Raw genomic sequence first — 19,099 nt, 5'->3', positions numbered from 1 at the left:
CAATTTACCCGCCTGGCAGCTTCCCCCATCTTTCCAGCCCCCTCAGTACTGTCAGCATCCCCTGCCCAACCCAAACCCATAAGTCTCGGCAGCGAGTGGTACTAATTTTTTTTTTTCTTAAGGCCAGAGGCCAAAAAGAGAAAAGTGCCGGACTGAGAGCCAACCAACTGCGCCTGGTTCTCTAATTCATTCCTACACTTATTCATCCCCCCTAAATTAGACGGGGGATCCGAGACAGCTGCTGCTGCCTTGGTTGCTTCCCTTCCAGTGGAATAGTGCCTGGGAGGGGCCTTCTCTCCCTTCACAGAAGCAGCTGCGCCCCGCTTATCCCCACTGCGCACTCGGCCATCCAGCTCTCGCCATTGTTTCTGCCCACAACAGATACCGCCCCTGCAAGGACCGGGAAGAAGAAAAGGAGGCCCAAGTCCTCGGACGCGCTGCTTTTAAATGCCTCCTTCACCCCGCCCGTGCATCCCGCTCCTAAGGGGTCATCTCCTCGCCCTTCCCCGAAGTTTGGTGGAAACTAAAAACCACATTCAGAGGTAGGAGAGGGAATTATGGGAGTCTAGTGGGAAAAAAACGATGGGTCCCCCGGGCCACGGTAACCAAGAACATCTGTTCACTGAGAGCGTTCAAATATTTGTCAGGATTCACGAAAGAGACAAATAATTTAAATGTGAGGAGCCAGAAATCCATTTTGCTTAGCTCGAATAGGGTAAGAACAAGGGAGCAAGAGTGAGAGCATCATTTCGTATCCACAGGGTGTGAAGCTGAGTCTGGTGCAGAGAGAGAAACCCGGCTCTGCGTCCGATCGCCACGATCCGGCGAGGGAGCCAGCTCCTCCTCCCCGCTGCACCCGCTCCCCATGCCGCAAGTCGCCCTCACCTCCATCTCGGCGTCTGCGGGACCAGCGCTGGCCGCAGACGCAACCGCCTGCGCCGCGACGCCTTCGGGGCCGCCTTTGTTGCTGCTGTTGCTCCCGCCGCTGGCGATCGAGGCTGCGGGCTTGGAAGGCGCGCTCTCGGGAGGCGGGGGTGGCGGAGGCTCGGCCGCGGACGACATGATGTTCCGTCTGCGTCACCCGCTGCTGCCAGAGGCCCGAGTCCGGCGGGGATGGACGGGGAGGCCTAGGCCTGGATGCTACGTCGCAATAAACTGGTGGAGGAGCGAGACTCCCACCCGAGCGCTCCCCTGCGCCGCGCCTCCGCGACGGGCCTGAGCCGGGCCCAGGAGCTGCACACTCCCAAACGTTCTGCTCTTCCGCGGGGCTCTAGGTTCCACCGGCGCTTACCTCACGGCGGGAATCACGTCGACGAGGGTGGGCGGGGCCAGACGGGTCACTGAGGTCAAGGAAGGCCGGCTGATTTAGAGAAGGGCGGAGGGTTGGGGGAAGGGAAAAGGAAAACGAAAGAGAGACTGAGGCTGGGAAAACGCTTCGCCGCCTCCTCCTCTTCCTCTGGAAGATAACATCTATCTCGCCAGCATCCAGGACGACGACCTACGCCACCGACTTTCAACACTCGCGAGATTCCTTATTGGCTCACTGACTGGGTCCTGAGCGCGCATGCGCATACTGCCCTCCTCACCCTTGGCCCGCCCTCTTCCAGATCTCTAGCCGGCTCGGGAGAGAAGAGTGGGCGGGACCTCCAGGGAGCGCTCGGAGGTGTAGGTTTGTGCGCCTGCTGCTTGGCAGGACGCGAGCTCAGTGTTTTAGGCTTTCGTAACGGCTCACGGTTCTCGCTGTGTCTTCTGTGCCTGACAGGGGTTGGCGGCACTACCGGAAAACTTGTCTGGGTTTTGCGCTGCCCATTCAAACTTGGAAGTCTTGTGTCTGGCCCCAAAACTTCTGCCGTATCCGCTTAGAGGCGTGACGCCACAGCCTTGACGACGTTATGGTTACCCCAAGTGAAGTCTCACGGTTTTTTGTTGTTAGAAAAAAAAAAAAAGTCCGTTAGTGTGATTTTTTTCTTTTTTCTTTTTTTTTTTTTTTGCCTTCTCATGTTAGCTGCGTCGGTTATTTCTAAATACCCTCCTTAGGCACAGAGTTAAATGATATTTCTTCTGAATTTATATGCCAAAGTTAAGCAAATAACGTGCACACTACCATGGAAGTGAGAAACACGAATAATCAATATATGGGGAAGATAGGTGGTGCGATGTAATCTTTTCCCCAAGCATCAAACATGAAAATTAAAACGTACATTCTCCTTAAGTGTTAACAAATATTCAGCACTGATTTTGTATACTGCCTTAGGCAGCCTTCAATGCAGCTTAAGGGCCTTGTGCATTCATCGCCTACAAAATTTAAATACATTGTAGTCTGTTTGATAACGAATCTGCATACTACAGTAGATTACCTGCCCAGTACAGGGTCTTTTTTATCTTTTTTTATTCCTCATATTCAGTATTCTCTAAATGTTTGTTGAGTAAAGGAGACACATTTTTCGAGAGTTGAGGTTTGAGCTAACTGGTTATGTTGAATTCCAAACAGAAGGGATCCCCTTTGAATATATAGCCTGCAAATTTTTTAACTAATGGAATGATAATTCTTAAATGGACATCTGGAAAAATGTCCCCACTCCACTAGAAATGCTAGTTCTTAGACTATAAGGAAATGTCTAAGGATATATGCAAAGATGAATACCTACAATGATGTTCATCATAGTCTTCATATATGACTGCAAAAAGCTAACAACAGTAGGCTGAATCCAGTATTAAAAGTTAGGTGTTTAAAACTGTCATACACCCAGAAAATGAACTATTAACCTTTAACAACCATTAATGTAGAATAATGGTTGTTTTGTGTTGTTTTGTTTTCAGACAGTTTCTGTCGCCCAGGCTGCAGTGCGGTGGCATGATCTCAGCTCACTGCAATCTCCAACTCCCAGGTTCAAAGGATTCTCATGACTTAGCCTCCGGAGTAGCTGGAATTACAGGCGTGCACCACCACGCCTGGCTAATTTTTGTATTTTCAGTAGAGACAGGGTTTTGCTGTTTTGGCCAGGCTAGTCTCAAACTCCTGGTCTCAAGTGATCTGCTCGCCTAGGCCTCCTAAAGTGCTGGGGTTACAGGCGTGAGCCACCGCACCTAGCCAAAGAATGTTAATTTATAAAGTGTTAACTGAAAAATTTGGTTTAACAGTTCAAAAATGTAGATAAAAGTTGGAAGCATATTTACAAAAGTATTGAAACTGATCGTTGCTGGTTTTTTGTTTTTGTTTGTTTGTTTGTTTGTTTTTTGACAGTGGCTTGCCCTGTCTCCTAGGCTGCAGTGCAGTGTCACAGTCGTGACTCACTGCAGCCTCAGCCTCCTGGGGTCCAGCAATTCTCCCACCTCAGCCTCCCAAGTAGCTGGGACTACAGGTGCATGCCACCAAGCCCAGCTAATTTTTGTATTTTTTGGGTGTAGACAGGGATCGCCATGTTGCCCATACTGGTCCTGAACAACAATTAGGGCTCAAGCCATCTACCTGCCTCAGTCTCTTAAAGTGATGGGATTACAGGTGACAGCCACTGTGCCAGGCTGCCGAATTTGCCTATTATTGTATTAAGAAAACTTTTTTTAAAAAAATTTCAGCTTTACTGAGGTATAATTCACAAAATTGTATATATTTAAGGCATACAATGTGATGTTTTGATATATAAACACGTTGTGAAATGATTACCGCAATCAAGCTAATAAGCATATACATCACCTCTTATATTTACTGCCTGCCAGCATGGTGAGAACATTTAAGATTTACTCTCAACAAATTTCAACTATGCAAACAGTATTATTAACAATAGTTACCATGCTGTGCATTACATCTCCAGAAATTATTCATCTTGTATAACCAAAACTTTGTATCCTTTGACCAACATCTCCCCATTTTTAGAAAGCTTATTTTTAATTTTAAAAAATGTTCTTTCACCGAAAAAAAATTATGTGGAAGGGTAAGAAAGTGGTGTCTAGGGTGGAACCTGACACATACTTAATAAATACTTGATGAATAATATTTTTATATTTACATTAAATAGACTAAAACATTAATTTAGCATTCGAAATGTTTCTTCACTTTTTATAGTCTTAGGTAGAAATCTTGGGTCTTGGTCTGGAAACCCTAAAGTTATATGTAGGTATATAAATGAAAGGATCTTAAGTCTGATAACTATTTAAGGAAAGCAATAAATAGCAAGGAAAACAATGCACATAAATAAATAAAAATTGCCTCCAAAATGGCGATTGTCTTTTAACATGTGCATTTACATGTGAGTTTCTCATATGATCATATGAAAGCTGTATTAGAATCATTCGGGGGAAAATTATAGAGAAAAGATGGAAACTAGCAAGAGGACACAGAATGCTCGAACTCAGTTATCTAGCATAAGTGACAGAGAAAAAGATTTTTGGCAGAGTTTAGAACCAGAAAGGAAAAGCAGAGAAGAGCTACAGAAAAGACATGAAGCCTAGAAACAGCTACAGGGACATTAGCTGTGTTCCTCAGGCAGATAGCAATACTAATATGGTGGCCAAATCACAAAATCCTGCTAAAAGGCTAAAACTAGCAGCTAGTTGTTGAATTGATCACATAATACAGAATTCATGTGTTGGTAAAAGAGTGGGTTGGGGAGCAGGCAAGCCTAGATTCCAGTGCAGGCTCTGGAACTTAGTAGCTGTGTGAATGCAGACAAGTTATCTAACCTCTTTGAAATCAATTTTCTCATCTTTTTATTATTATATTTTCCTAGCTTTATTTTGAGATAATATTATGATGTCATAAAAATTAAATGAGACAGTATAAGGTACATGATACAGTGCCTGACATATAGTGAGTTCTGGGTTCAAGTGTTAGTCTTATCCTTGAGAATCATAAGCCTAAGGTTTAGAGTCTAGTTGAAAGAAGAGGAACCAAAGAAGGAGGAGGGTAAGGGGTTTGGTAGCAAGAAAACACCAGAAAGGATTAGAGCTTTAGTCGTATTCCCAGCAACAGAATGCTACAGTGTAAAATAATGTTAGTGTTCTATCTCCAATATGTATATACATAGTTTACACCTAAAATTTCCTCTGTTAGATTTAATGTGCTAGAACAGCAAGTACAGTACAGAAATACAATGGAACAAAGAGATGTTGCCAGAGGACAAAAATGTGCCGAAGAGCCAGGGCTCTCTCAGCATTGTGTCCTTGAATGGTAACAGAAAGGAGTTAAAGTTTTCTCAAGGACAAAGAAGAAATGCAACACCTCTCTTCATTGCAACTCATTTTGTCAAAGCTTAAGAAAATAAAGTCTGATTACTGCAAGACAATAAAACTGTATTGAGTTTGTATCTAAGAATGGGTATTTCCAACACCAGATACCAATGATTACATGTTGTATGTATCTTTTTTAGAGTTCTCCCACATAGGTCATTTGTCAATGTACAGAGATTTCAGTTAAAGAGAAACATTAACTGTACTGTTAATAAACAGGTAAGGATATATTCCCTTCATTCCCCTCATATTTAGTCACCAACTAAATAGTGGGAGACTTTGTGTCTGCTCGGTATATATGCATATGTTTATGTAGTCAAAGTTTTTCAGGTTTTCTCTGCATTTCTTCCTGCTCATGAAAAAATAATTTCTTTTTTGTTGGGCTGGTTCTAGGTAAAGTATTTCTAGGAACTCAAATATTATGATCCAAAGTTAAATTTTAACCACCATCTTTGAAACATTTTTGAAATAATAAACTACAAAGCTTCAATTAAGAAATTAGAGTTTTTTTATTTAGTTTTTATCTCATTTATTAAAAGGAACTTCAGACAAAGGAAATTAGGCAGTCTTTTGCTCAAAATATTGAAAGTAAAAAGATGGAAAATATATATCATTAAAACAATAGCAAAAAGAAAACAGGAGTGGCTATATCATTATCAGATAAAGTAGACTTCAGAGCAAAGAAAATTATGAGACAAAGAGGGACATTATATAATGATGAAAGTGTCAACCCAGAAGACATAGCAATTTTAAATGTATATGTACCAAACAACAGAGCTGCAAAATATGTGAAGCAAAAGGTGACAGAACTGAAATTAGAAATAACAAATCCACAATTATATGTGGAGACTACAGCATCTCTCAACAACTGATACTACAACTAGGCAGAAAACCAGCAAGGGTATAGAAGAACTTAACAACAGCCAATAGGATCTAATTGACATTTATACAACACTGCACATATTTTTTTCTTCTACAAAAGTAGGACTATACACATTCTTTTCAAGAACCCACAGAAAATATAGCAAGATAGACCATAAACCTTAACAAATTTAAAAGATGTGAAATCATACAGAGTATGTTTTTTAACCACAATGGAGTCAAACCAGAAATCAGTAACAAAATGTTACCAGGGATATATTCAAACTAAATGACGTGCTTCTAAATAATCCATGGGTCAAAGAGAGGTCTCAAGAGAAATCAAAAAGTACATTGAACAGAATAAAAATACAATATATTAAAATTTGTGGAACACAGCTAAAACAGTGCTTAGAGGGAAATTATACACTAAATGCTTACATTCAGAAAAGAGAATAGTCTCAAATGTAAGCTTTCACCTCAAAAAACTAAAAAAAGCAGAGCAAGGATAAATCCAAAGTAAACAAAAGGAAGGAAATAATAAAGGTAAGAGCAGGAGTCAATAAAATTAAATACGGAAAATAAAAAGCAAAAACTGGTTCTTTGAAAAGATACGTAAAATTGGCAAACCTCTAGGAAGTCTGACAAGAAAGGAAGAAAGGAAAAAAAGAGAGGGTAAGAAGGAAGGAAGAAACAAAGCTCAAATCACTAATATCAGGAATAAAACAGGACCTATCATTGTAGACCTTGAAAACATCAAAAGGGTAGTAAGGAGTACGACACACATAAATTTGACAACTTAAAACCACTTCCTTGAAAAATTCAAGCCACTTAAACAGTATAAAAAGATCATATGAATAGCACTGTAACTATTTAGGAAATTAAATTGATAAATTAAAAACTCCCAAAGAAGAAATCTTCAGGCACAGATGGTTTCAATGAAAAATTCTACCAAATATTTAAAGATGAATTAATACCAATTCCATACTATCTCCTGCAGATAATAGAAGAGGATGATACACTTTGTAATTCATTTTATGAAGGTGCTTTATCTCTAATACCAAATCAGACAGACACTACATAAGAAAGAAAATGACAGACCAGTATCACTGATGAATACAGACAAATCCTTAACAAAATATTATCAGATACAATTAAACAATGTGTAAAAAGAATTATGCACCCTGATCAAATGTGATTTATTCCAGATATTCAACACTGATTCAATATTTGAGTATTAGTCAATGTTGTCTGCCATATCAACAGGCTAGAGAAGAAAACTCACATGATTATATTGACTGATGAGGAAAAAGCATTTGACAAAATTCCAACACCCATTTAGAACAAAACTCTCAGAAAAAAAAAAAAAAAGAGAAAACAAATAGAGTGGAACTTCCTCCTCTTAATACAGAGCATCAGCAAAATACCTACAGCAAACATTATACTTAGTGAGATTGAATCCTCTCCCTCTAAGATCTGAAACAGGGAAGGTTTTCTGCTTATAACATTCATATTCAACACAGTGCTGAAAAGGAAAAATAGAGATCACTGAAATTCTCTTCAAACTGACATAAAACTTTTGTTGAAAATCAGAATAATGAACCAATTTGGCCAAATACAAATTTATATTTTTCATAATCTTTAACCATAAAGTGGAAGTAATGCTAGTTTATTTGATCAATAAATCAGTATAAATTTAGGAAAAACATTCCCAACTAAAATTATTATAGGATTTTATTATACTTAATATTGATAAATTAGATAAGACATAGATGATTTTATTAAAACAAAAATATTAAATTAGTCTTGTTTGCCAAAGATTCACCTACACTTTGTGAACATGGCTTCTCTACTTGTTAGTTTCAGTAAGAATACTTTTCTTTTAGATTTTAGCACGTTTAAATTATTAGAAGTTTATTATTTTCTGGGAATTTTTGGAATACTCAATCCATGTAAGTATCTTTATTAGTCAATCAGAACAGGCCCCTTTAAGAGTTTGTAATTGAACTTATTGATTACATCCTGAGATGGAAAACATTACGCACTCACAAAAGGAAAGTAAAATTTTTTCTGAATTATAGACACGTATATAGACAGAGATAGATAGCACTTAGAGTTTTAATTCTAAAATTTCAGCCATTGGTCAAGAGTAAATACAATATCAAAATAACTTTCCAGTTCAGATACTAAAGAGCTGTTCTTCCTGATAGACAGGAAATTCTTAATTGATTTAAGCCCTAAATAGATAAATTGACAAACCAAAAGACTAACAAATCCAACACTTTGTTGTCTCTCACTCAGCAGAGAATAGATCTTTATTAGCCACAAATTCTTCTACAGAAATCAAATGGTCAGATCATAAAAATCAAATTGCCAGTTATTGCTGCCACTAATGGGAAATAACTTATCAGCTGCAAAAGAACAAAAAAAACCCATAAAATTAGTAGAGAAGAAAACTAAAAATAGAAAAACATCATCAGCAAATTTATATTGCTGCTTTGGATTTACTTCTGGAAGCCAAGACATGCTGGGCTTAAACTACCCATGAGATGCACTTCTCTGGTGACAGTTTACCTGGTGATATGGTTTGGCTGTATCCCCACCCAAATCTGCTCTTGAATTGTAATCCCCATAATCCCTTCATGTCTAGGGAGAGACCTGGTGGGAGGTGACTGGCACATGGGGGCAGTTCCCCCATGCTGTTCTTGTGATAGCAAGTGAGTTCTCACAAGACCTGATGGTTTTTATAAGGGGCTCTTTCCCCTTCGCTCCTCTCTCTCTCACCTGCTGCCATGTAAGATGTGCCTTTTCCTGTTCCACCATGATTGTAAGTTTCATGAGGCCTCTCCAGCCATTCAGAACTGTGAGTCAATTAAACCTTTCCTTTATAAATTACCCAGTCTCCGGTATTTCTTTATAGCAGTGTGAAAACAGACTAATACACCTGGTCTTGTTAAGTGAATCCAGTGGACATGTTTGTGGAAAACTCCCAAAACTGTTAAAAGAAATTTTTTAAAAAAGTAAAAGCATGATTCTCATACATACATAAAAAAGAACACTTGTTAAAGATTTTATTTAACTCACTAATACGGAAGTTAGTGAGGTGTTAACAACAGTTTAAAGATTAAAAATGGAAAAACAAATTTATATTGGGTAAAGAAAAGTTGAAATTAATGTGGAAGTGGAGGTAAAATTATCTTCTTCCACACTAGGGGAAGGAAGTCAGTTTACCTTCTAATGCATAGGACAACACTTGCGTATGTACAGACGAGAATTATTTTGCACTTGTATAAGTTATTTACAATTTACAGAGTTGTAAAATAGCTCACATAGAGTCAGAAAACCCAAAAGTCTGTCTTCTGGAGTCAAGACAGTTCATGATTTTCTATTTAAGCCCATGTTTTCCCCTATGTGCTATTGTTTTAGTTTTATTGTAAATAATTCTCATTTGGACTTGTAAGTAACCTACTAGTTAATTTGTCTTTATTTTACACTAAGTAAAAGAACTGAAATTCAACCCATATGCAAGCTGGTAACCACTGCAGCATATATTTTTGTCATTCTGCATCTCTCCAGAATAGCTTTCTTTGCTTTCTCTTGGTTTCTCTGCTTCTAAGTAAGTGCATTGTGTTTAGTCTGTTCCAACTCCAACTGGCTGTGCATTATAGTACCTCATAGATAACAACCAGTGTTTCAATTACAAATCTCAAGGTCCAGAGACAGATCAGTTCAGTTTAGGTCAGGTGCCAATCCCAGATTCGTTAGGTATGAATAGGGATCAGGCCACTAGATATAAACATGGCTACCTAGGCCACCTCTTGAGCAGCAACCGAGAATGGAGGCTCTCTTAGAAAGAAGAGTAAATTAGTGCAAAGAATTGACTGGAATCTCTAGCATATGTTTATGGTCTATTTATGTTGCAGAAAAGTAAACTATCTTTGATAGAAAAATCTATTAATGTTCCCATTCAAGCATTATGATCCTTTTAATTTTCATTCATGGTTCAATTTTTATCCAAGTTGCCAATTCTAAGCCCAGTTGCACTTGAAATTGAGTTATTCAGTTAAAATGTATTTGAAGTATGTTTTTTTGAGAGCTGGAGATTAATTTTGGCCTTTTGAAAATTTGATTCTTAACACTTGTAGGTATATAATTATTATTCTATAATAACTCATTATGAAAGATGGTATGGACTTAGTATCTTATAAATTCAAAGAAACTTTTTTTAGTTTCTGATTCATCTCAAAGTACCTGGTGTTGAACTTAATCTTCTCTGAATGGTAAGTGCTCCAGAACGCATGTAAGGAGGAAGCCCTGTAACTCTGTCACTGGTCAGAAGGCCCACTGAGTTGTGTTCTGAAAAAGAGTGCACTTTTGGTTTTGCCCTATCAATATAGGCCACTTCAGGGTCTTCATTAGTGGAAAGAAGTGGAGATTTTGTAAGTCTCGCTTTCAGACACAAAAGAGAAGAATGTTAAGTCAATGGAATTTTCCACTTATTATTTTGTAAGAGAATCAGGAATTACAGAACAGAGACCTTGACAGTAAGAACTGTGTAAGACTGTAAGCTTTGCAGCTTGCTCTTGCTTGTCATTTTTGTCACAGCTTGCTGAACATTTCAAACCTAAATTCCTTATCACTGAATTTTCTTTTATTACAGTTCTTTCAGTAATAAGAATTGGTGAATCATGATATCTGGAAGTAAACTGAATTTTAATTCTAGATTTATAATTGAACTCACAATGAAGTTACTTATGGACCTGCAATTACCTTTATATAACGAGTATATCTTATGCACTTTGATTCTAAACCAGAACCTATGGTAGAGATTGCAATAATATAATTTAGCTATTTTGTGTTTTATTTACATATTGTGTTTGTGTCCCCACAGAAACAGACACCAAGACAGGGTCAAGCATGCGAGATATTTACTGGAGGGACTAACTGTGAAGAATAAAGGGGCCAGGCATAGTGGCTTATGCCTGAAATCCCAGAACTTTGGGAGGCCGAGGTGGGTGGATCACAAGGTCAGGAGATCGAGACCATCCTGGCTAACACAGTGAAACCCCATCTCTACTAAAAATACAAAAAATTAGCCAGGCGTGGTGGCGGGTGACTGTAGTCCCAGCTACTCGGGAGGCTGAGGCAGGAGAATGGCATGAACCCAGGAGGCAGAGCTTGTAATGAGCCAAGATCGCACCACTGCACTCCAGCCTGGGCAATAGAGCGAGACTCCATCTCAAAAAAAAAAAAAAAAATACATGAATAAAAATAAAGGGAGGAAGCATGAGTAAGGAGGGAGTGACTTGAGACAGAGAGGCAGAACTAACATTTGTAAAGACAAGGGAAGGATGGAGGATTATGAAAGAAGAATTTCAGTTTGTAGCAGAGCTCTGAGAAAGTTTTGGCTGGGCTGATGGGGCATCTTTAAGCCAAAGTTGCTCATTAGATGAGTAGTATATTCCATGAGAGTGTTCCTGCACTAGTACCACTGCCTGCTGGGAGTAGCCTGAGAAAAGTTGGCCCTAAGCACAAATATGGAGTAAGTGGGGAGTAGGGATGAGAGGATGGAGGGATGGGGAGGTGGATCCAGAGGGGCTACAGCTGGGGCTGCCATAGTAGATCTGAGTGTCATAGCTTCATGGTCACCACAAGAATATATACACATATTATAGAAAGACAAAGAAGTATACTTTCAACAAATTCATCATCTTTTAAATTTAACAAATTTCAGCTAATTTTACACACACACACACACACACACACACTATACAATCTTCAGGGTGAAAAATAAAACATATATTTATCATTGAACCCTGATTTTGGACTCACAGAGATCCCAGGTACTCAGATACAATTTAGATGAAAGAAGATTTGTATTTTGATGATGATAGTGATGATAATGATAATCATAACTAAAGTTTATTAGTTGCATGTAGTGTTTCAAGTTTTTTATGTTTTGACTCATTGGCCCTCACATTAGCCCTTGTGAAGGGGGTAATATTTGTCTCCATTTTGCAGAGAAACAGACATAGAAGATAGAGTGGCTTACATAGTATTATACAGTCAATGTGTGATATGGCAGATTAATTAGACTAAATTGCATAAAAGTAAAAGATGAAACCTGTAGCTCAAGGATGGTAGCTTATTGAGATCGTGGAAATAAATGAAGGTCACCCAAACAAGAACAAACAGGTGCTATTTATTCAGAACTTGTTATATTGAGGGACTTAGCTATCGTCACTTGCTCTTGGCAAAGTAGGACAGTGGTAGAGTGGGAACTGGAAAAGCTTTATAGTATTGTGCTCTGAGTAGAGCTCATTCACATAGAGGAACTGGAGGCAGGCTAAATAAAAATAAGACATCTAGGATGACTGGTTTGGGAAGTATATTTGGCTTTCTCTGGTTGATCCTGAATTGAAAGTTGTCCTGATGCAAAAAATAGGGAAGTAAGCAGTCATTGACCGAGTTGTGACCATACTGAGCTGTTGCTGCAGAGGTTGTGGTATAGCTCCTGCTGTGGTTTGAATGTCTGTGTCTCCTCCAAATTCATATATTGAAATTCTAACTCTCAAGTTAATGGTTTTAGGAGGTAGGGCCATTTGGGAGGTGATTAGGTCATAACACCTCCACAGAATGGGATTAGTTTTCTGATAAAATAGGCCCAAGGGAGCTCGTTTGTCTTTTCTACCATGTGAGGACACAGTGAGAAGGCTCCATTTGTGAACCAGGAAGCAGGCCGTCACCAGGCACTAAATCTGCCAGCACCTGGATCTTGGTTTTCCCAGTCATCAACACTATGATAAATAAATTTCTAGTTTTCTTTTTTTCAGTCTACACAGTTGATGGTATTTTGTTATAGCAGCCCAAAGGGACTAAGATAGTTTCTCCAACTAGTTGCTACAGACATTGTGTGTGACAATTCTGTTGTCGTATAGAGTCAGTTTGTATATTCAGTCCCTCAAGGGGAAAATCACCCAACTTATCTTAATAATTCTGCTGACAATAGTTTGCGTCTATTTAATAGTAATATCAATAAAATGCTATTTAGGTTATCTTAAATGCCAATAAAATTTAACATATTAATGTTTAATTTTTAATAAAACATTTAATAAAAATGTTTAATAAAAAGTATTAAACAATTAAATATATAAATTATATATACACATATATGTGTATATGCTGTACCATTTGTACATATGTATATATGTACAATATATATACAATGTATATACACACATATGTATACATACTATATATGTGTGTATGTATATGTAGTGTATGTAAATACAACAGTGAAGAAGCCTAGTTCCATGAAAACTCAAAAGGTTAGTGCCTCTGCTAGTTCCTATATTAAATTTTACCTGAGAAAGTGTTTTACAATGTGTGATTATGACCAACTGAAAGCTTCAACAACCATTCTCCAGTACTCTCTCAGTTAACTGCGCATCTGGCCATCCTGAATAAAGTCTTCATTTCTCATCCTCGTGCTGCCAGGGGTGGCCATGTATATTAGTCTGTTCTCACACTGCTATAAAGAAATATCTGAGACTGGGTAATTTATAAAGGAAAGCAGTTTAATTGACTCACAGTTCCACATGGCTGGGGAGGCCACAGGAAACTTACAATCATAGTGGAAGGTGAAGAGGAAGCAAGGACCTTCTTCACATGGTGGCAGGAGAGAGAAGTGTGAGTAGTGAAGAGGGAAGAGCCCCTTATAAAACTATCAGATCTTGTGAGAACTCACTCACTATCATGAGAACAGCATGGGAAAGCTAACCCCAAGATCCAGTCACCTCCTACCGGGTTCCTCCCTTGACACATGTGGATTATGGGGATTACAAGTCAATATGAGATTTGGGTGGGGACACAGAGCCAAACCATATCACCATGTGAGTGAAGGATGAGTGCAATTCTTCATGCTTCACTCAGATAAGAAAGAACTTCTATCTGTGTAAGCCACTGCTATTTTGAGCCCCTACTGCATATCACTAAACTACATTCAATAATACCAAGTTTAATTTTTATCCTTTGAATAATGCTAGCCTTTGAGACTGTGATTTTCAAAACTAACTGAGAAAACACTATTTAGAAACAGAGACTCAAAAATGTTTTTATACATACAGCAGGTTCCCTTTAATGGAAAACAAAAGGACATCATTGACACATAAAATTCCTACTTCTCAAGCATCCAACAATTTTCTTTTTAAAATTAATGCTTTATAGATAAATGTGTCTATGTCACCTGTCATAATGGCAAATGTTTGTTTAAAATATATGTAATGTATCATAATTAAAAGGTTCATCAATTCCAAAAGTGACCCGCTGTTTTTGTATATACTGAAATCAAATTGTATTAACACTATATGAAAATATTAAATAATTTTCTATTTCATATATAATTTTAAGTAAAGATTACTTTACTGAGCTAAGTAGGAGAAGCTAAGCACATGGCTGGAAATCACCAATTTTTTAAGTCTTGGAGGAAAAAAAATAGTATAATGGCTTATATTAGCTTGTGAGCTTGTCCTGTGTCTGTGGCTTCTGTGGACTTAGAGATGGGGAAGATTGAGTAGAGGGTAGGTGGAATTTTGAGACTGTCCCTTCCTCTTCTTCAGTAAACGATGGAAAGGTGTTAAATGACCAGTATTAAAGAGAGGAAAAACCATTTTTCAGTTCATTAACAAGGTATTATTACAGATTGGAGCTCTGCTACCAGAAACCTGAAAGAGGAATGAGGCTCTGGAGCAAGCTTGTGCCTCCGTACTATGGATTGGAGCTCCAAGCATGCTGTAGGGTTCCTTGCCCAGCTTCATGCCACATAATTAGAAAGAATATGAAGTAAAAGCTGTGTTTCCAGGTTTTGGTGAGAGAAAAATTCAAGCACCAGAATGAGAAGGGTAAAAATACAGGCTCAGAAGAGAAATTGCTGAAAACCAAGCACATTCACAAGGGCTTATCAACTCTGTTCCAATGCAGAGTGAAGAGGGGACCCAGGAACCTGATTGCACCCTGGGAAATGTGAAGCTCTTTGTGAAATGACTATTAAAATGGCCTGAAGAGGTTGGGTGTGGTGGCTCAAGCCTGTAATCCCAGGACTTTGACAGGCCGAGGAGAGTGGATCCCTTGAGTCCAGGAGTTCTAGACTAGCCTGCGCAACATAGGGAGATCCCCATCTCTACAACAACAACAACAAAAATTAAAAATTAACTGGGCATGGTGGCGTGCACCTTTAGTACCAGCTTTTTGGGAGGTTGAGGCTGGAGGATTGCTTGAGCCCAGGAGTTCAACGTTGCAGTGAGCTATGATCCCCAGTGCACTCCAGCCTGGGTGATGGAGCAAGACACTGTCTCAAGAAAGAAAGAGAGAGAGAAAGAGAAGGGAAGAGGAGAAGGAGAGAAGAAAAGGAAAATTAATTGTAAGGGTATTGGGGCCTAACTAAATGTAGTGTAAATATTAAATTGCAACTGAAATATCCCATAATGAGTATGTATGGTTAATGTATCTTATGTTAGTCCTTATGTAAACTAAGCAGCGTTCCAAAAATAGACTCACCAAATTTGTTCTACTTAATTTTTTTGAAAAGTCTTTGATAGCTCTTAATATCAATTAATACTTGATCTCAATTAGTTTTGTTTATGTATGCTAACTACCTTAATTGACATTTAACAGTTGACGCAGCAGAGTAATAAGATAATAAATATCTGGATTTAAAATAAAGGCCTTTTTAAAAACTTAGAATTCAATAAAGGCATTTTTAAAAACTTAGAATTCAACAGCAATGCCACTAATAATGAAAGATAAATGAGAACATCAGTGTCCATAAACGTAAAGAGTTAAATAAGAACTTAAGGCAAAATTTCAAAGGCTTGTTGCCTTTTTGGCTATTTCAAAGGCTTGTTGCCTTTTTGGCTATTTCATTTCTGTTTTAGGTTAGTTTTATGGATTTATATCTAAAGTATTGCTATGGTCTGAATGTTTGTGCCCCCTGAAAATTCGTATGTTGAAATTTAATCACCAGTGCAGTGGTGTTGGGAGGTAGGGCATCTGTAAGGTGATTAGGTCATGAGGTGAGAGCTCTCATGAATGGAATTAGTGCCCTTATAAAAGAGGCCAGAGAGATCTTGTTTGCCCCTTCCTTCACCTGAGGATAGACAGAAGGTGCCATCTATGAGGAATATGAGGATTCAGACACTCAATCTTCTGGCGCCTTCATATTGAACTTCCCTAACTGTGAGAAATAAATTTCTGTTGTTTATAAATTACCCAGTCTAAGGTATTTTGTTACTTTTAATGGCCAAAACCACAATTCCTTTTGCACCAACCTAATAGCAGCACCAACCTGAATTGACTAAGACAAGTATTTTCTGTCTCCAGTGTGCTCCGTAGGGAGAGAAACACATCTTTTCTATTTGAAAGTATGGGATGCTGTCTTTATTTGCCAACAGAAAACAAAACCTTGACCAATATGCTGTGAATCTGATTCCAGGATAATTTGGATCAAAAGTAAAAAATGTAAAAAGCCTTGGCCGATTCGGGAACTAAGGCAGCAGCCTTTTTCTCCCTTCTCTCAACCTCCATTTCCTTGTAAAAATAATAGCACGAAGAACAGGCAGCTGAAACATTAGCGAAATCCATAGTAGTAAGGCCAAATCACATGCAATGTGTGAGAATGACCGATGAGTTGATGTCGTTGATAGCATTTTAATACTCTTGATTACATTTATGTTTTATGCCAAGTAACTCTTTCTTGCCATCACGTCTGCCTAAATACAGATGCCTTCAGCCAAATGGTACTGCTCTGACTGCAAACAACCCTGGGTTTTTTTGTTTGTTTGTTTGTTTTTTGAGATGGAGTCTGTCGCCCAGGCTGGAGTACAGTGGCACGACCTTGGCTCACTGCAATCTCCTACCTCTCAGGTTCAAGCAATTCTCCCACCTCAACCTCTGCAGTGGGTGAGATTACAGACTCCTGCCACTATACCCAGCTAATTTTGGGGTTTTGTTTTTTTGGTTTTTTGGTTTTTTTAGTGGAGACAGGGTTTCACCATGTTGGCCAGGCTGGTCTCGAACTTTTGACCTTCAGTGATCCACCCGCCTCGGCCTCCCAAAGTGTGGGGATTACAGGCATGAGCCACCATGCCCAGCCGACCCTGGGTCTTAAATATAGTGAAAAAGCCCCTGGCTTGGTCCAAAATTTGCCCCAAACAAGTGTTATTTCACACATCATATTTCCAGAGCTAATTACTGCCTGGAATATTGCACTGCCCACTCTCTTGTTAGAAGCCTTATTCTCTTTTATTATTTTCCTCTTGAGTTAGTGCCCCAATACCTTACTAGGTGATTTTTTTGTGAGTTAGGCAACTCACTGTTCTGGTAACCACCTCTCATTGGGAAAAGAATCTATTGGTTTGAATCAATAGGGTTTAATTTCACATTACAGACAATTTTTATTAGAAGAGTTAAAACTGTAAACAAAAAATACACTCAAAGATATAATTGCAACTAAATCTTAAATTTCTATGAGTTTTCATGTTTTCCCTAACTCTGCTTTCAGTTCAAGGGGAATAGGAAGACAACTTGTTTTATTTATTTATTTATTTATTTTGTTTTATTTTAATCCTGACCGAGGCCACTATAACTTCATAAAACTAAATGAAATTCTGGATTTGTGCCCATGGTCTATCTCATATGGATCAAGGCATGTTTCTTATCACTTCACTAGCCACATTCTAAGTTTGGGACCTACCTTCCTAGGTTTTCTAAGTATTTTGGTTTGGACTAAGCCACCCTTTTCTAAACAGTACGATATGACCTGTTATGAAAACTTTATTTTATAATTCAAGCCTCTAGATTTTCATCTCTCAATTAATTGTTTACATGTTAAATAGAATAATAGGAAAGACACTATAAGAATATTCCACTTGCTTTTCAGCATGATGCCACAATGTTAGGACACTTAAGCTGACCTAGGTGGGGGCCCATTGGGTGAGGTACTGAAGCCTCCTGCCAACAGCCATGTGAGGGAGCTGTGATGGAAGCAGATTCTCCAGCTCCAGTCAAGTCTTCAGATAACTGGAGCCTAGGCTAACATCTTGGCTACAATCTTAAGATTGTAGCCAAGAACTTGACATTTAAGAGGCTTCCAATTGCTGATCCCGATAATCTGTGTAAGATACCAAACATATTATTGTTTAAGTTTGCTAAGTTGTCAGGTAGTTAAGGAATAATAGATGACTAAGACAGATATCTTAATTATTTCAGATGATTTGTATAATTATAGTGATAATTTTCCAACAGATGGCACTAATGTATCTTATTCTAACAAAATCAGTAGAATTTTCTAACAGATGGAAGGGCCATTTTCTAACCTGATTGATATTTTGCTTATAAAAGAGGTACAAATTTGATAACTGAAAAATCTCATTGATTTAATAGCTAAAATAACCCATGCTTATAAACAAAGAGCTATTTTTCTGGCTGATGTAATGATTATCAAATGTCTTGAAAATTTAAAAAAATCTCCCATTGGTACTGGTATACTGGCTAAATTTGACATTTTATATTGCAGCTCAGATTTTCTTCCATTTCTTTACTATACCAATATCCTATTGCTGGGTCCCAGTTTAAATCCATAAGTACTTCATATAAAACAGATCATGTTGTCATGTTACTCAGGAGGCTGAGGCAGGAGGATCTCTTGAGCTTAGAAGTTCAGGGCCAGCTTGGGCAACAAAAACCAGATCATCATTAATGAATCAAAAAGTAAGTAGTAGTATATCATTGATGGAACAGGTTAAGAATTTATTTTCTACTTTCTTATCAATCATAATTGAAGAATGTAAAGAAAAACCCAAAGAGAAAAAAGGCCTCAGAGACTCTATTAGCAATCTTTCTAGGTCATGGCCAGTAATTTGAATGTTAAACAATGGTACACTCTTTTTTGTTTGTTTGTTTTGAAACGGAGTTTCGTTCTTGCCCAGGCTGGAGTGCAATGGCGTGATCTTGGCTCACC

The 19,099-nt window shown here is 38.4% G+C and overlaps 1 protein-coding gene and 1 long non-coding RNA gene across 3 annotated transcripts in view, besides 6 other annotated features; one reads left to right on the top strand and one right to left on the bottom strand.

Annotated features, from left to right (window-relative positions):
- SMARCA5 (SNF2 related chromatin remodeling ATPase 5) overlaps positions 1-1,285 on the bottom strand; it is a 43,785-nt gene extending 42,500 nt beyond the window's left edge. For both annotated transcript variants that reach the window (NM_003601.4, XM_047416323.1), the window contains exon 1: positions 886-1,285. In NM_003601.4, the coding sequence (NP_003592.3) occupies positions 886-1,062 (177 nt within the window). In that variant the 5' untranslated portion in view covers positions 1,063-1,285. The remainder of the gene's footprint in view (positions 1-885) is intronic.
- On the top strand, positions 150-1,515 carry SMARCA5-AS1 (SMARCA5 antisense RNA 1). The gene is made up of 2 exons (NR_104027.1): positions 150-542; positions 762-1,515. It is a non-coding gene; the product is annotated as an SMARCA5 antisense RNA 1 (long non-coding RNA).
- Positions 665-784: an enhancer, noted in NCBI's record as "active region_21951". NCBI's record gives its function as "activates an Ori minimal core promoter by ATAC-STARR-seq in GM12878 lymphoblastoid cells {active_cell/tissue: GM12878}" and the evidence as "EXISTENCE:reporter gene assay evidence [ECO:0000049][PMID:35858748]".
- Positions 845-904: an enhancer, noted in NCBI's record as "active region_21950". NCBI's record gives its function as "activates an Ori minimal core promoter by ATAC-STARR-seq in GM12878 lymphoblastoid cells {active_cell/tissue: GM12878}" and the evidence as "EXISTENCE:reporter gene assay evidence [ECO:0000049][PMID:35858748]".
- Positions 1,195-1,564: an enhancer, noted in NCBI's record as "active region_21949". NCBI's record gives its function as "activates an Ori minimal core promoter by ATAC-STARR-seq in GM12878 lymphoblastoid cells {active_cell/tissue: GM12878}" and the evidence as "EXISTENCE:reporter gene assay evidence [ECO:0000049][PMID:35858748]".
- Positions 1,595-1,664: an enhancer, noted in NCBI's record as "active region_21948". NCBI's record gives its function as "activates an Ori minimal core promoter by ATAC-STARR-seq in GM12878 lymphoblastoid cells {active_cell/tissue: GM12878}" and the evidence as "EXISTENCE:reporter gene assay evidence [ECO:0000049][PMID:35858748]".
- Positions 1,695-1,784: an enhancer, noted in NCBI's record as "active region_21947". NCBI's record gives its function as "activates an Ori minimal core promoter by ATAC-STARR-seq in GM12878 lymphoblastoid cells {active_cell/tissue: GM12878}" and the evidence as "EXISTENCE:reporter gene assay evidence [ECO:0000049][PMID:35858748]".
- Positions 1,805-1,854: an enhancer, noted in NCBI's record as "active region_21946". NCBI's record gives its function as "activates an Ori minimal core promoter by ATAC-STARR-seq in GM12878 lymphoblastoid cells {active_cell/tissue: GM12878}" and the evidence as "EXISTENCE:reporter gene assay evidence [ECO:0000049][PMID:35858748]".

This window comes from Homo sapiens, chromosome 4 (assembly GCF_000001405.40).
Source record: "Homo sapiens chromosome 4, GRCh38.p14 Primary Assembly".
NCBI lineage: Eukaryota > Metazoa > Chordata > Mammalia > Primates > Hominidae > Homo > Homo sapiens.
The sequence above is the reverse complement of the archived record's forward strand: the minus strand, read 5'-3'. Positions and strand labels throughout refer to the sequence as shown.